The sequence below is a fragment of the Homo sapiens genome, chromosome 14 (assembly GCF_000001405.40).
Source record: "Homo sapiens chromosome 14, GRCh38.p14 Primary Assembly".
Taxonomy (NCBI): Eukaryota; Metazoa; Chordata; class Mammalia; order Primates; family Hominidae; genus Homo; species Homo sapiens.
Window position 1 is genome coordinate 77,000,566 of NC_000014.9, and position 15,649 is coordinate 77,016,214.

Genomic DNA, 15,649 nt, shown 5'->3' on the forward strand with positions numbered 1-15,649 from the left:
CTCCCCCCCTGCCGCCTCCCTCCCTTCCTGGCTCCCTCTGTCTTCTCCTCTGTCGTCACGCACACACTTCGCAGCGCTACGTTCCCTCTCAGACACAGCCTCTCACGTTTTCTTTCTCTCTCACGCATACATTTCCTCACAGATGCAGACATTTCTGTCCAGCCTCTTCCTCCCGCTCAGCTCGCCCTGCCCGGGCCCCTCCTATCCCTGCAGACACACTTGCACACGCCTGCCCTTTTCCTTCCACGCCACCACTGTCTCCCTGCGTGGCTCACTCCCTTCCGCCTTGTTTGCCTCTTTGCTTTGTCAATGAAGACGCTGCCACATTAATGAGCAGGCCTGTCCTCTGTGGAGGCACACCGGCTCTTTGTCGCTCACTGGCAGAAGTGTCAGCTCACATTCATCTTGCTCTGCCTGTAAGAGTCCCACGGGCATTGCCTCCCCAAGTGGGACCCATTTTGTGGCACGTGGCCCGGACGACACGTATCCCTGGGCTTGACATACACAGACACACAGGAAACATTGGCCATGGGACATGCCTCTCCCCCTGCAGTGAGGAGCATCTAAGGATGCGCTCTGCAAATTCCACGAAAGGCCCCGGGTGCGGTATTTCATGGTGCAGAGGTGAAGTTCCTCCTCCCTCCTGTTTCGTTGTCTCGCAGTTTTCTACGGGCCAGTCCCTCTGTTACCCCATCCCACAGGCGCCAATGGAAACTCTGAGCCCCATGCAAGCTCCCATGGAGACCCAAGGCCCAGCCTCTCTCCCTGCCCAGCCCTCCACCCCCAGGCCCGCAATCATCAGAAAGCAGCACTTCCCACTGCAGCCCTGCCTTGACGTGGCCCACAACTCACTCCATCCAGACAGTCAGGGGGGTAGGCAGTGTGTATTTGTGTGTGTGTGTATGTGTGTGCGCGCACTTCTTGTGCTGAATGAGTGGTATTCACGAACAATGGCAGCTTACCCTGGGCTGACGGTGGGGTTGGGCCTGGGGACAGAAACCCTGCAAATTTCTTGGAAATCGCTCTCCTTTTTTTTTTTTTTTTCTTGAGACAGGGTCTTGGCCGGGCGCGATGGCTCACGCCTGTAATCCCAGCACTTTGGGAGACCGAGGCAGCCGAGGGTCACCTGAGGTCAGGAGTTCAAGACCAGCCTGACCAACATGGAGAAACCCCATCTCTACTAAAAAAGAAAATACAAAATTAAACAGGTGTGGTGGTGCATGCCTGTAATCCCAGCTACTCGGGAGGCTGAGCCAGGAGAATCACTTGAACCCAGGAGGCGGACGTTGCAGTGAGCCAAGATTGCACCATTGCACTCCAGCCTGGGCAACAAGAGTGAAACTCTGTCTCAAAAAAATAGACGGGGTTCTTGCTCTACCACCCCAGCTGGAGTGCAGTGGTGTAACTGTAGTTCACTGCAAGCCTGGAACTCCCAGGCTCAAGAGATCCTCCCACTTTAGCCTTCCCAGTAGCTAGGACTAGAGGTGCACGCCACCTTGTCTGTCTAATTTTTTTTTCTTTTTTTGTAGAGACAGTCTCTCGCTATGTTGCCCAGGCTGGTCTCAAAATTGTGGCTTCCAGCGATCCTCCTGCCTCAGCCTCCCAAAGTGCCGGGAGGTAGGAGCCACTGCATCTGGCCATCTTTTTTGTCTTAAAAATTAACTTGACTTTTGGCATTATTCACTATAACATATATGTCAATCATCTCAAATTACTTATAATTCAACAGTTAACTTTTTTTCTGAAATCTTTGCTTAAAATTGATCTTCCTGAAAGTTGAGTCTCAAAAACCCTCTGGCTCATCCCAGGGACCCCGAGGGCACAAACACCCCATAGGTTAAAGAGCTATGGGAGCAGTCTATGGGGTAAGAATATGGCATATAACTCTATGGGGGAAAGATAAGAGCAGGGATTTGGGTTTACATCCTGACTCTGGCAGTTATTAGCTGTGTGACCTTGGCTAGATCACTTAACCTCTCTGTGCTTCAGAATCTCAGCCTATAAAATGGGGATGATGATGATGATAGCACCCGCCATACACATGGTTTTTATGATGATTCAATACATTAATGTATGTAAAATACTTAGGACAGTGGCTGACACAATGTAGATGTTTGCGATTATTTTTCTGTAGAAGACCAAAACACAGCCGTCTAATCATCCCCAGAAATTGAAATGAGAGATCTCTCTTGCCTCCCTCCTCCCTCCTAGGATGAGCACCTGCCCCTGCCTATGCCCCACCTCAGCTGCAGTCCTCGATCATTCATTTAATCTGCAAGGCAGTCAGTCAGTTAACAAACATTCTCCTCTGTTCCAGGCACTATTCCTGCACTGGCACTCGGTGTCACACAAGACATTCTAGAAGGGGAGCCAGAAACATGCAAACAGCATTCGGATCATATTCAGAACTGAAGTCTCAAAGAAAAGTAAATATTCTTTATTCCAAAGAGCCACTCCCTAGCTGTAGAGAGCAGGGGAGGCAGGCGGGTCAGAGATGAGTGCAGGGCAGAGTGATCGTGATGGTATTGTCCGCTGGACTTCACCCCTCTGGACAGGCCTGCTATGGTGGGCACTGAGCCCATTTCTCTGCAGCAGAGGATGGTGGGGGCTGGAAGAGCAGGGGCTGGTATCAGGACGCAAACCTTCTGTGGACCAGGCAGTCCTCCCAATTCCATCATCTCCTACATGGCCCTTTGGTGAAACAGGTGATTAAGCCCCACTCTCATTTGCCACACGGGGAAACTAACTTGAAAAGAGATATCATTTGGGCTGGACCTGGTGGCTCACACCTATAATCCCAGCACTTTGGGAGGCCAAGGTAGGTGGATCACCTGAGGTCAGGAGTTTGAGACCAGCCTGGCCAACATGGTGAAATCCCATCTCTACTAAAAATACAAAAATTAGCTGGGCATGGCGGCACATGCCTGTAATCCCAGCTACTCAGGAGGCTGAGGCAGGAGAATTGCTTGAACCTGGGAGGTAGAGGTTGCAGTGAGCCAAGATGGCACCACTGCACTCCAGCCTGGGTGACAGAGTGAAACTCTGTCTCAAAAAAAAAAAAAAAGGGGATATCATGTGATAATCAGACATGCTTTTACCTCTTCCAAAAAGAGATGCATATGAATTCAGCTAAGACTAAATCCATACGTGGCTCTGCATTCCCTGTTGTTTAGGGAATGAAGGGCAATGATGGTAAACAGCCCAGGTGTGCCCACTCCATGGTCCATTTTATCCTGGAAATGGTGAACACAGGCTCTCCCATGTTCAACAACTGTGTGACTGCCTGTGGGCACACAATTGTCCTGGGGCTGTGGGCCTTTGCTGTCCAAGAGTTCTTATCTGCGAGTCCCTAAGATGGCTGCAGAATCAATCAGGTTGTTCGTGCAAGGTCAAGATCTAGGGAATGACTGGAGGTGACCATGAAAAAGTCATGGGTCCTGAACCATTGAGCCAAGTCAGAGGTCCAGAAAGTGACACGTCAAGGCCTCTGCTAGGGTGTTTCAGGACCAGGGAAGAGTGGGGTAAGACAGTGGAAGGTGCCTGGTAGGCGTGGTCAGGGCAGGCCCAGAGGGCTGGAAACTGCAGAGAGGTTGGCCAATGCAGGAGAATGGGAATGCAGACCCTGTGCTCCAAGGGCCTCTCTGCCTGCTGAGTTGGGGGTTGGGGGAAGGGGCTCCAGTCTGTGTATTGACTCCCTGTCCTTCTTTGACCTCTGCACGCCTAGCCAGCAAGGTGCTGGATGGCTCAATCAGAGAGAAATGTGATTTGGGCCAAGTTTCCTTCCACCTGAGCCCAGGGAAGAGCTGGAGGCCTGGCCAGTGGGGCAGAGGCCAAAATTACAGTATCAGGGAGATTTACCATCAAATCCAGAATGGCCTCATTCCTGAGTCATGCTGTCCTGTAAACTTAGAGCACCTCCCAGCACTCATGAACTCGGTGCTGGGGCAGTTTCTTATCTTAAACCTGTGGATAAGTGAGGCTTGAGATTTTCCCACCCCTGCTCAGTGAATTCGTGTTTACTCAACAAAACACAAGCCAAAATGTCCAAGCTGAAGCAATTGCCTCTCCATTAGCCAGTTGTATGTTTCTGGTACTCTCCCCCTATCTGGTTGTGAGCATAGCCACAAGGACTTTAACTTATGACTACATTCCCAATGCTGAATCAATTATTATTGACCAAATGACACAACAAAGCAAGGAGCATCCAGGTTTTCTGACTGAGAACTTGATTACTTCTCTGCATTGCTCCCCCATAGTCCAGGTGTCTGCTCAGTTGAGGGGGCAGGAAGTTCCTGTTTGGCAGGGACAGTTCCAGGTTTTGATGACCAAATTGGTATCTATACTAAGTCATCATTTATGCATTTACTGCTGGAGGTTAAGGGAAATGGTTACATAACCCAAGGAGACTGTGTCAGCCTGTAGCAGCCCCTCCTCCTGTAGCCACGGACACCCAGCTCCATTTACAAGAAGTTCCCTCATATCTGCCCCCAACATCCTATGTCCCCACAGCCACCCAAGTTGATGGGAGACAAGACCCCCTGATAGGTTCAACCTGTCAGCTTTCCGGACAGACCAGAGATCCCCCACTCTCTCGGAGACCCTGGAGTAGAATCAGCTGAGAAGAGAATGTCTTCTGGCCACAGGCCCTAGGGCCCTGTGCTCTGGAAGGGCGAATAGGTGCATTCCACCCTAGGGCAATGTGAGCACCTGCTGCTCCCCCAGCAGCCCAGGCAAGGTCGGTGTTTTGGGACCGCCCTACTCCCCAGGCACAGGAACAGGGCACCGGTAAAGCAATTCACTGGGTAAAGCACTTCACGGACCCACCTGTATCCTCCCTCCGTAGCTCAGGAGTATCAGGGCTCCAGGACAACATTTCCTTTACCAGCAGCCTCCTTGTCTTCAGCCATCACTCACCCTAGGACCCTCAATAACCTGCACATTGATTTTTTCCTTTAGGAAGGCAATGGCATTAGCATCATAATTGACATTGCAGATACTTTACCATTCAGAATCATCTATTGTCTCATTTGATCCCCCTTATAATGCTTTCAAGGAGGCACTGGTCTTCCTACTTGACAGAAGAGAAATTCAAGGCTCAGAGTGACTTGCCCAGGGTCACTATACAGAAGAAATGTGTGTGTGTGTTTTTGTTTGTTTGTTGTTTTTTGAGACAGGGTCTCACTGTGTTGCCCAGGCTGAGTGCAGTGGCATAATCACAGCTCACTGCAGCCTCGACTCCCTGGGCTCAAGTGATCCTCCTGCCTCAGTCTCTAGAGTTGCTGGGACTACAGGTGTGTGGCACTGTACCCGGCCAATTTTTTATTTTTTGTAGAGATGGGGTTTCACTATGTTGCCCACCCTGGTCTCGAACTCCTGGACACAAGTGATCCTCTCACCTCGGCTTCCCAAAGTGCTCGGATTACAAGCATGAGTCACTGCACTTGGCCTACAGAAAAAATTTGAACCTCCTTGTGTCCAATCCCAATGCCCGAATCCAATCCAAACACCTCATCTCTGAATTTTACAGCCTTTTCTGGGGGAGCACTTGCTTAGGAAAGAAACATTCAACCTTAAACCACCAGGGCAACGGGGACAAAGCTAAAACTCCAAAAAGGGCAGAAGAAGAAAAAACAGCAATCTCACACACCACTCTCAGCCCACGTCCACACCTTCTCCCTCCCTAAGCCTTCCACCAGCTTTGCTGTCAGTTAACACTATTTGAGCCCAACCCCCGACCTCAGCTTCAGAATGTGAACCCACAGCCTTTGCCCTCCCCAGAGAGACACCAGGCCAACTGGCCTGAAGCCCACCGCCCAAGACTGCAGAGAAGGCTGGACAGAAAAGATGGAAGGTTGGATTAAATCCCTTGAAGATGGGATCGTGTGAGTGTCCAGATTCGGCCATAATTTTTTTTTTTTTTTTGAGATGGAGTCTCGCACTGTCGCCCAGCCCGGGTACAATCTTGGCTCACCACAACATCTCTCTTCCAGGTTCAAGTGATTCTCCTGCTTCAGCCTTCTGAGTAGCTGGGATTACAGGCACCTGCCACCACACCCGGCTAAATTTTTTTTTTTTTTTGTATTTTTAGTAGAGATGGGGTTTCACTATGTCGGCCAGGGCTGGTCTCGAACTCCTGACCTTGTGATGAACCCGCCTTGGCCTCCCAAAGTGCTGGGATTACAGGCTTGAGCCACTGCGCCTGGCCTGACTGTAATTAAGAACATGGGCCTGCAGCAGAAAACCCTGGGTTCAAAGGCGAGCTCTACTTCCTCCTGGTTGGGAGACATAGTTCCTTAACTACCCTGTGCCTCAGTTCCTTTCTCTGTAAAATAGGGGAACACTAGTATCCACTGATGGGTGCTGGAAGGATGGAATGAGATTGAGACATGGTCTCGCTCTGCTGGCCAGGCTGAGTGCAATGGTGCGATCACGGCTTACTGCAGCCTCTACTTCCTGGGCTCGTGATCCCCTGCCTCAGTTGCTGCAGCTGTGCCATATACTGACAGCTCAGTCCTTGAGCTTGTGGGGCTGCAGGAGCAAGGGATTGGGTGGAAGACTAACGGGTCAGCCCTGGGTCAGCTGGACTGAGCCTTAAGCCAGTTCATTAAGGCTCTCAGCCTCAAGGTCTGTTCTCTATGGAAGGCCTCAGAATACTTTGCAGGGCTGTTTTGAGGCTTGGAAATCACGTAGGGGGAGTACCCTGCATCTGTAAAGTACTCAGACACACAAAGCCTTTCCTTCTCTCCCCTGCAATGTGACATTTCCTTCAGAAAACATTGTAGGAAAGCTTTGCTTTATTGGCAAGAAGAATAAATGGCATAGTATGCACAGAGCTGGATGCTCAATAAACATCCGTTCCCTTGGAGAGGCGAAAGGGAGAACAGCTTGATGGACGCTGGGAGGGAGAAAAACAGAAAAAGAGAGTGGGCGGGGTCGGGCAAGCAGAGGATGACGAAGGTGCGTCCTGACATGATCATGGGCAGGGCTGGGCGGGCAGGGGATGGCGAAGGTGCCCTGACATGATCGGGAAACGCTCCTGGCGAGTAGGGGATCCTTGGCAGGGAAGAAGAGAGGGTTGTCCTCATGCCTTGCTCTTGAGGAAAAGGTGGCAGCAAGAACAAGGCCAAAGGCTCCATTCCACCTGTGCTTGTTTGCTGGAGACCTTGTGACACCGCTTGCCCCTTTCTGGGCCTGTTTTCTCTTTGCGAAACAAAAGGCTCTGGAAGGTGCCTCCCACCCGGAATTATGCAGGGTACTCCCCGGCCAGCCTTGTTCGCTGGGATACCCCACCATTTTGCTAAGGTGGGCTGTTGTCACCTATGCATAGCCCTCTGCCTGCCTCCTCTGTCCCCCACCACTGTACCCTCCTACCCTCTCCTTCCCAGACATGAGGGTTTTATTTTTAACCAGAGTTTACAAGCAGGATCTGGAAAAGCCAGTTTGTGGAAGATGTTCCAGCACTGGCTGGCTCCCTCCCCCACAGTGGGAGGGAGAGTGGCTCGGGCAGCCCTTGGCCAGGCAGGGAGACCTGCCCAACAGGTGTGGGTGAAGGGCAGCAGGCCCAGGGACTAACAGCCCAGCCATCCTTGCCAGCTGCAGAACTGGAAGGGGGCCCAGATTGACCCTGGCTGCTCTGGAGGGGAGGAGAGGTTGCCCTATGGCAGGGGTGGAAGCAGCAGAACCTTCTGGGCTTTGCTGATGTCTCCTCCCCTATGGGGACTGATTGGCCCAGGGCTTCCCTCTCTCCCTGGGGACATCTCTGGGCAGAGTGGCCCAATGCCCTGCTATTGCAAGCCAGCCCTCTCCTTCTCGGGCACCAGGGAGGGGGCAGGCAAGGCCAGGTTCCCCGGTAGGCAGATTAAGTGTGTTCTCAGGCCACTGGCAGCAAAAGGCCATCAACAAAGTGTTTTGGTTTGGTTTTGCTTTTTTAAGAGCTAATATTTCATACTTCAAAAATAGCAAGGAAGTAGTCATCCTGGGGAAAATCAAAACTTTGTTGGACTTCCTGACACTTATTTTAAGGCTTAGGATTATTTTATTTGGAATTTGTGTGTGAGTGAGTGGGGGAGGTACACCTTAATCCTTCAGCTCTTAAGGCTGCTAAAGGTCTTAATCCAGCTCAGGGAAAATCAAGGATCAGAAAGGGGGTGGGGACCCTGAGGCGTTGAGGAGGAGGGAGTATGTGGCCTCAACCTATAGCTCTATACCCTAGAGGGGAAGGCTTTCTGCAGAAAGGGGACACTGCCGTATTATTTTTAAAGGAGAGCTGGTCTAGCCCAGCCAGAGGTGTGCAGTGTGATGCCTGCGTTGGTGTGAAGAGGATCTCGGGAAATCAAGGTGTGAGTTCTTGCAGGGGGAACAAGGAGCAGGGGCACTCAGGGCCTGGGAACAAGGCCTGGCAGCCTGGAATTGCCACCCCTGGGCCAGAGCTGGGATTTGGTCACTCTGGAAATGGTAAGCCTCTTGGCCAGAGGTGGCCAAAGACAGTTGTCACTTTGGAGGGGGAGCTGACAGCCCATTTCCTGGAAGATGGTTCCAAGGATGCCACTCAGCTCTGAGCCCCTGGAGGCAGGGCAGGGCTCAATGCCTCTTCCCCCATAGCCTGCTGCAATGGAGCACATTACTCACAACCCAACTCCGTTCCTGCCGCAGCCAGAGACTCAACAACAAATGTTTGCTAAGCACCTACTTGCTCCAGGCACTTTTTGTACCTCATTGTAACCCTCAAGTTACCTGTGGTATGGTTGAGCTACCCCATGTTCAGATGAGGAAACAGGCTCCGAGACACTGAGCTCACTGAAGAGCACATCACTGGCAGGAGGCAGGGTTAGGATACAAACCCAGTTGTCTGACACTGCCCAGCATGCTTTACTTCACACCCACTGGTCTCACCCCTGCTCAGGCCTCCAGAGGGGCAAAGCCACAAGCTCTCCTGCTTCAACCCTCTTTGCCTAGCCAGGCACCTCTCAACTTCTACCACGGCGAGGAGCCTCCAACATTATGAGCGAGGAGACACACAAGCACTCCAGGTCCCAGAACCAGCTCCATAATTTTCTGGGCACAATGCAAAATGAAAACGCAAAGCCCCTTGTTCCAAATGATCAAGAATTGCAAGACAGTGATAGCAGAACATTCAACCATCTCTTTTGAATGTCGGACCGCTTGTGAGTGCACAGGTCCACACCCATGAAGGCAGTCCTGCACAGAACCCACACTGTCCCCCAAATAAACTCCTCCCTTACCTGGGAAATTACATATCCCAGACATAAGGCAAGTACGATTGCCATGGGCCTTGGGAAGCAAGTCCTCCACTGACCTGGAGGCCCCACCACCATCCTCAGGCACTCTTGACCTCACCTCTCATCTTCCAGGTCACATCTGCATGTAACCAGGGGCTACCCCATAGCCCCCGACAATCTATCATCCCTAAAGAACTGACTTGGATGGAGTGAGGCAGTGAGCCTCTCTACTCTCCTCCCCTTTTCTGACTAATTAATCCTAGCACCTCTTCCTTGACCCATTCCTTGATCCTTGCTGGAGACAACCTCTTTCCTCATCTGACCAACATTTACTGAGCATCTAGGCACTGTGCGAAGGCTTCAGGACTAATACTACTAATTTCACTCTAGAACAGCACCGGCCCCTGCTGGGAGCTCCATCAGCATTTGTAGAAGTGGTGGAAGTAGCTGCCTAATGAGTGGCACCTGGTGTCAGGCAAGGAGCTGAGCTGGGCACACCTGCTCACAGACATGGTCTCATTTAATCCTCGCCACAGCCCAGCAAGGTGGGCATCACTGCCGCCTTGGGCCTAAGAGGAGGCTGAGGCTCTCAGAGTAATGTGCAGAAGGTTCCATAGCTACTGAGTAGAGCAAAGAGACCAGGGTCTGGTCCCAAAGGCTTCTTCAGCTCTACCGCAAATTGCTCCTAAACTTTCCTGCAAGGAGTCCTGTCTGGTCAGGAGAGCACCCATAAATAAATATTACAGAAAAGTCCTGAGGGGTCCCTGCAAGTCTCTCCATCTCTCCATTCTGGCTTCCTCCCTCTGCTCCCAGTGTAAGTGGGGCCCCAGTTCTGTCCCAGGTGCATCCCCCTCCAAGCTCTCTATGTACCAAGCCCCACTCTAGAGTTTTATGGGCACTTATGCATATAATCCAACCACTAGCACTATGAAGTAAGTACAATTCTCATGCCCATTTTCTTTGTGGGGAAACTGAGAGACAGTCTGGCCCCAGAATCTATGCTCTTGACCACTACACACTTCTGGAGGCCCCCTGCCTGGGTTCAAATCCTGACACACCAGCAACACCACATATCAGCTGTGTAAACTTAGGCGAGTTTCTTAACCTCTGTGCATGGATTTCTCCATCTGTAAAATGTGGACTATAATAGCACTGTTGTGCCAATCCCCTGTCAATTCCAGTGGGGATGGCACCAGGTTCAAGAGGCCGTAGCAGAGACCCAGTGCCAGCAAATGATAGAGCACTGGGGCTTTACTGGGGACTTACATTCAGGGAAGAGAGTTCAGCGGCAGCGGGTTGGGCAGAAGAAACGCAACTGCTTGCAAAAGGCATGCAGTTTATAGAGCATTGTCACTTAGCACCCTTTCCCTAACAACCTCCACCTGGCAACCTTCTTTCAGCGCAAAACTTGGGGCCCCCATCTCTGTATGGCCCAAGTTCCATAGGGCAGACTGGGGGTTCAGCTGTTCCTCATAGGCAAGGAACCAATCTCCAGGTTGGCCACTCCCAGACCCCCTAGCTTGGAACACACGTGCAGGTGCATCTGCCATACAGGGTCATTCTCAGTGTGTGCTGAAGTGATTGCTATCAGGTGCACTTCCTATACAAGCAGCTACTTTGTAGAGCTGTTGTGCAGATTGGGTGGGGCAGTATACATAAAGCAGACGGGTGCCTGGCACATTGTAAGCGCTATGTGTATGAGAGCTATTGTTAATATTATGAGTTTCCAGTACCTATACCGCCACCTCCCTCTTGAAAGCTGCCACTTCATTCATTCCCATCCCCCTTCCAGGGTCTTCAGCCTCTCCTGGATGAGCCCTTTCCCTGCACACATGCTTGTGTCTCTCTCAGCTGGCATCAAGGACACTCTCCCCACCTGTCCCCTGGCTGCCATTCTCTCCTTCCCGTCAGAGCCAAGAGACTAGGACAAGCTGGGCCTTCTGCTGTCCCCACACTTGGCCCACCGACCCCTCGACACAGTGTGTCTCAGCCTCTGCTTCCTTCATTCTTGCCTGAAACATGGGAAGCATAGCCATGCTTCCCTGGCTAAGATCTCCAGGAACTCCATATTGCCAAGTCCAACAGACACCTTTCTGGCCTTACCTTCCTCCATCTCAGCCCAGCACCTGACTCTCACCCTGAGCCCGGTCCGCAGGTCTCCTTCGGCAGACCAGACACCACTTCTTGGGATCATCCTTCCACCCCTCCTGCTACTCATTCTCCTCCCGGGCTGTTCCTCCCCTAGGCCTGGGATGTTGGAGCACTAGCTCCCACCATTCCATCTCATCTCCTCATTCTGCCCACTTTCCTTTCAGGGCCCTCTTCCAAACTCACACCTCTACCTACCACCCACAAAGAGGACAACACCTCTCACTTCTTGCCTAGACCTGTGTGCAGAGGCCAGACCTGCGTGTCTACCTGCTTATCCATCATCTCATTCCCTGCCCCAACCCCGGTGTCCAGAGGGGAGCTGGGCCTCTTCCCCTAACCCTCCTTGGCCTGCGGCATTCCCTGGGCACCCAAGCTGAGGGATGACCCTGCCCCCTTTCTCCCTCTGCCTCATCCTCCTGAGTCTGGGCACCAGGGCCCGTGGACCTCTCCTCCCCACAGTGCTCACGCTCAGCCTCTCCCAGCGCCACAGCCCCCTCCTCCTTCGGCTTCACCACCTCTCGCCTGGATAACTGCAATCGCCTCCTAGCTGGTTTCTCAATCTTGGTTTTCCCTCCCCTCCAATCCAGTCCTCATACTGCTGCCAGAAAGATCTTTCCAAATGGCAAATCAGGCCATGTCCCTCGCAGCTCACAGAATCCTTCAAGGGCCCTTTGTGATTAATTCCAAGACCCACGTTTTTTTCTCACAGAAGATCTTGCTGGCTGGTCCTGCCTCGCCTCCTCCCCACTCTCCAGCCAAACCCAACTAAGTCTTTGCCTTTCCGGAGGGAACTTGCTCTCCTGCCTCCCCAGTTTCACTTCCAGCAGGAGCTCCTTTCTATCATCCTCGCTCCTCGTCCTTTATGGGCCCTATCTCCAGAAAGAGGTCTTTCCCCGTGGCCTTGACCCGTGCTCCTGAGCACCATGGTCACAGCACCATCGCCAGTGCTGCTGTTGACTTTCCTTTGCCCCGTCCCCCAGTGCTGAGAGTCCTGGTGGCAGGAGACCCCTGAGCCAGGCAAGAATAAGGGCAACAAGACAGCTAACAGTCACTGGAAGCCAACAAGCTGGCTGGTGCTGACACAGAACATGCACCACTGTCTCTTTGGATTCTTCCTGCCACCTTGTGAGGGATATTCCTCCTTCCCAGGGAGGACTCAAGCCCAGAGAGATCAAGTAACTTGCCCAAAGTTAATAGCAGAGCCAAGATTTGAACCCACACATCAATCGATAGATGTATGTTGAGTGAAAGCACGTTTTCACGGAGGCGTGGAGCTTGGATGAGTCTTGAAGGAGGAGGGGCGTGATAGGTGGGCAAAAGGAGAAGGAAGCCACGTGTTGGGCAGAAGCACATCCTGGGCTGAGTACTCTCCACAGCCTGCTCCAGACTTCCCTCACCTCTGCCATCCCCAGGAACAGGAACCCTGCGCCAGGCACTCAGCCACAGTGGGCAAAGAAAGAGCCCTGTGGTAGGCCGGGCGCGGTGGCTCACACCTGTAATCCCAGCACTTTGGGAGGCCAAGGCGGGCAGATCACTTGATGCCAGGAGTTAGAGACAGAGACCAGCCTAGCCAACATGAAGAAACCCTGTCTCTACTAAAAATACAAAAATTAGCCAGGCGTGGTGGCGCGCATCCATAATCCCAGTTACTCGGGAGGCTGAGGCAGGAGAATCACTTGAACCTGGGAGGCAGAGGTTGCAATAAGCCAAGATCGCACCAATGCACTCCAGCCTGGGCGATAAGAGCGAAACTCCGTCTCAGAAAAAAAAAAAAAAAGAAAAAGAAAAAGAGAAAGAAAGAAAAAGAAAAAGGAGGTGGAAGCTGTTAGAGGCACTGCCTGCACCCAGGGTGCTGGAGGCACCAGCTATGGCTGGCGGACACCTCCTGACCACCTACTTCTTATCCATGTGTAGGGGCAAGGCTGGGACCAGGTAGGGGGGTACAAGGCAAGGGGTCCTTGGGCCTAAAGAGGAGCTGCAGGTGCTGGCTCCCTGCCTGAGGGCCAGCCCTGCCTCTGTCCCAGCCCCACTGGGGTCACCACACTCACTGAGGTGAGCTGGAGGCCCTTCTGGGGCAGGACTGACTTGGAGCCCGAAAAGCCACCTTTTGGCAAGTGGCTTGGCCTGTTGGTTTAGCCCCAGGCAAGGTGGTAGGCTCCGCAGCAGCTCCTCCTTTGGACTCTCCAGCTCTCCCCCTTTCTGTTCTACCTTGGGAAGCTCCCAAGGTCACCTACCAAGGTCACCTTTGAAACTCCCACCGTTGAAACTATCCTACTTCCAGAGGCCCCAGAAGAATAGGCATGTTGGCAACTCCCCAAGTCAGGGATCAGTTGCCACCAGCTCCAGTCCAAGCAGAACAGGGCATTGTGAACCTCCAGCTCCAGGCAGACACAGGGGAGGGGGGAGATTGTGGGAGGTGGTCACATGACCGTCTGGGCTGAGACCCAGGGGCACAGAGTTAATTCCTTCACGTTCACATGGCCCTACATTCCACAGCCGCCTCTCCCAGGGTGCTGGCCATCAGTATTGCCCCCGGCGCCCCCAGCCACGCAAACCTGTTCTCAGATGCACCCAGACCTCCTGGAACTGCAGCTCTGGGGTTCCAAGTGCTCACTCCTCCCCTCAAAAACACCACCCCCAGCTGGCAGGGTCTGTGCTGGTGAAAAGCGAGGTGTGGGGGCAGAGTGAGGGGAGGGTGTGAACTGTCCTTCAGGTGACAAAGAGGAGTGAAGCCAGGCAGGGGTGAGTTATTTACCCCTGTCTCGATTGCCTGTCTATGAAATGGGACCAATAATAGGACCTACTGTGGGGATTTTCCTTTCAAAGGAGAATCATGGCCACGACCAGCCTCAAAGATTTACCATAATGAAGGAGAAGTCATATATGACAGTGCCTGGCCCACTGTCAGTTCCAAAGTCTACAGTCAATAATTTCTCTCCCATGGAGCATGGTGGCTCACGCCTGTAATCCCAGCATATTGGGAGGCCGAGACCGGCTGATTACGTGAGGCCAGGAGTGAGAGACCAGCTTGGCCAACATGTTGAAACCCTGTCTCTACCGAAAATACAAAAATTAGCCAGGCATCGTGGCACTTGCCTGTAATCCCAGCTACTCAGGAGGCTGAGGCAGGAGAATCACTTGAACCCAGGAGATGGAGGCTGCAGTGAGCCAAGAGTGCGTGACTGCACTCCGGGCTAGGTAATAGAGTGAGACTCTGCCTCAAATAATAATAATAATAATGTCTCTCCTTCAGTCTTTTCTTTCAACCACAGCATCCCTGTCTGTGACCTAGGAGTACAATTCTGACAGCCTCCACGAGCTGCTGTGGCTGGTGGGAGAGGGAGGGGAATGAGGCTATTGGTAAGGAAGGCTCTGGACGCTGTTGGGATAGCTGGCCTCCATAGACACTGCCCCACTTCTTCCCCCAAGTCCTTCCAGAGAATGTCCAGTCATCCAGGGGCTGCTCAGGGCACCCAGCTAAACACAGGGATGTGAATGCCCTGGATGTGGGCCTGTGGGCCAAAGATACACACAAACACACACACACACACACTCACTCACTCACACTCCTTGCCCAGAAGCCTAGGATGCACCAGAACCAATCCTTGGCTGTGGGGGCAGGGGGCATCTTGCTGACTTTCCATCAGCCCCCAGACCCAGATTGGGGCTCTGTCTGACCCAAGCCCAGTTCCTTGTCCTGGACCTTTCCGCTTTTCCTGGCTTGTCCTAAGATCTGCCCTCAGGAGACATATATTATAGATCTAAGCTTCTCTGTGCTTTTAATACTGCTGAACATGTACACGAAATAACTGCCCACAGTGCAGGGGAACTGGAGATTTGGAATGAGAAGGAGACCGACTTACTTTTCTCTGAGTATCTTCTCAGGCTCTTTGATTTTTTTTTCTTTTACCATGTGTATCTAATACCTTTTTTAAAATTAAAATACTCCTGGGGCCAGGCACGATAGCTTGCGCCTATATAATCCCAGCACTTTGGGAGGCTGAGACTGGCAGATCACTTGAGGTCAAGAGTCCGAGACCAGCCTAGCCAACATAGTGAAACCCTGTCTCTACTAAAAATACAAAAAATTAGCCGGGCGTGGTGGTGCACACCTGTAGTCCCAGCTAATCGGGAGGCTGAGGCAGGAGAATCACTTGAACCTGGGAGGCGGAGGTTGCAGTGAGCCAGGATTGTGCCACTGCCCAGCCTGGGCAACAGAACAAGACTCTGTTTTGAAATAAATACATAAATAAACAAAC

The 15,649-nt window shown here is 52.3% G+C and overlaps 4 annotated features.

The window, feature by feature from the left end:
• Window positions 569-1,273: an enhancer, noted in NCBI's record as "H3K4me1 hESC enhancer chr14:77467477-77468181 (GRCh37/hg19 assembly coordinates)". NCBI's record gives its function as "activates a minimal SCP1, AML or CMV promoter by ChIP-STARR-seq in primed H9 embryonic stem cells {active_cell/tissue: H9 hESC(primed)}" and the evidence as "EXISTENCE:reporter gene assay evidence [ECO:0000049][PMID:30033119]".
• Window positions 6,831-7,360: an enhancer, noted in NCBI's record as "H3K4me1 hESC enhancer chr14:77473739-77474268 (GRCh37/hg19 assembly coordinates)". NCBI's record gives its function as "activates a minimal SCP1, AML or CMV promoter by ChIP-STARR-seq in primed H9 embryonic stem cells {active_cell/tissue: H9 hESC(primed)}" and the evidence as "EXISTENCE:reporter gene assay evidence [ECO:0000049][PMID:30033119]".
• Window positions 12,884-13,680: an enhancer, noted in NCBI's record as "H3K27ac-H3K4me1 hESC enhancer chr14:77479792-77480588 (GRCh37/hg19 assembly coordinates)". NCBI's record gives its function as "activates a minimal SCP1, AML or CMV promoter by ChIP-STARR-seq in naive H9 embryonic stem cells {active_cell/tissue: H9 hESC(naive)}" and the evidence as "EXISTENCE:reporter gene assay evidence [ECO:0000049][PMID:30033119]".
• Window positions 13,681-14,477: an enhancer, noted in NCBI's record as "H3K27ac-H3K4me1 hESC enhancer chr14:77480589-77481385 (GRCh37/hg19 assembly coordinates)". NCBI's record gives its function as "activates a minimal SCP1, AML or CMV promoter by ChIP-STARR-seq in naive H9 embryonic stem cells {active_cell/tissue: H9 hESC(naive)}" and the evidence as "EXISTENCE:reporter gene assay evidence [ECO:0000049][PMID:30033119]".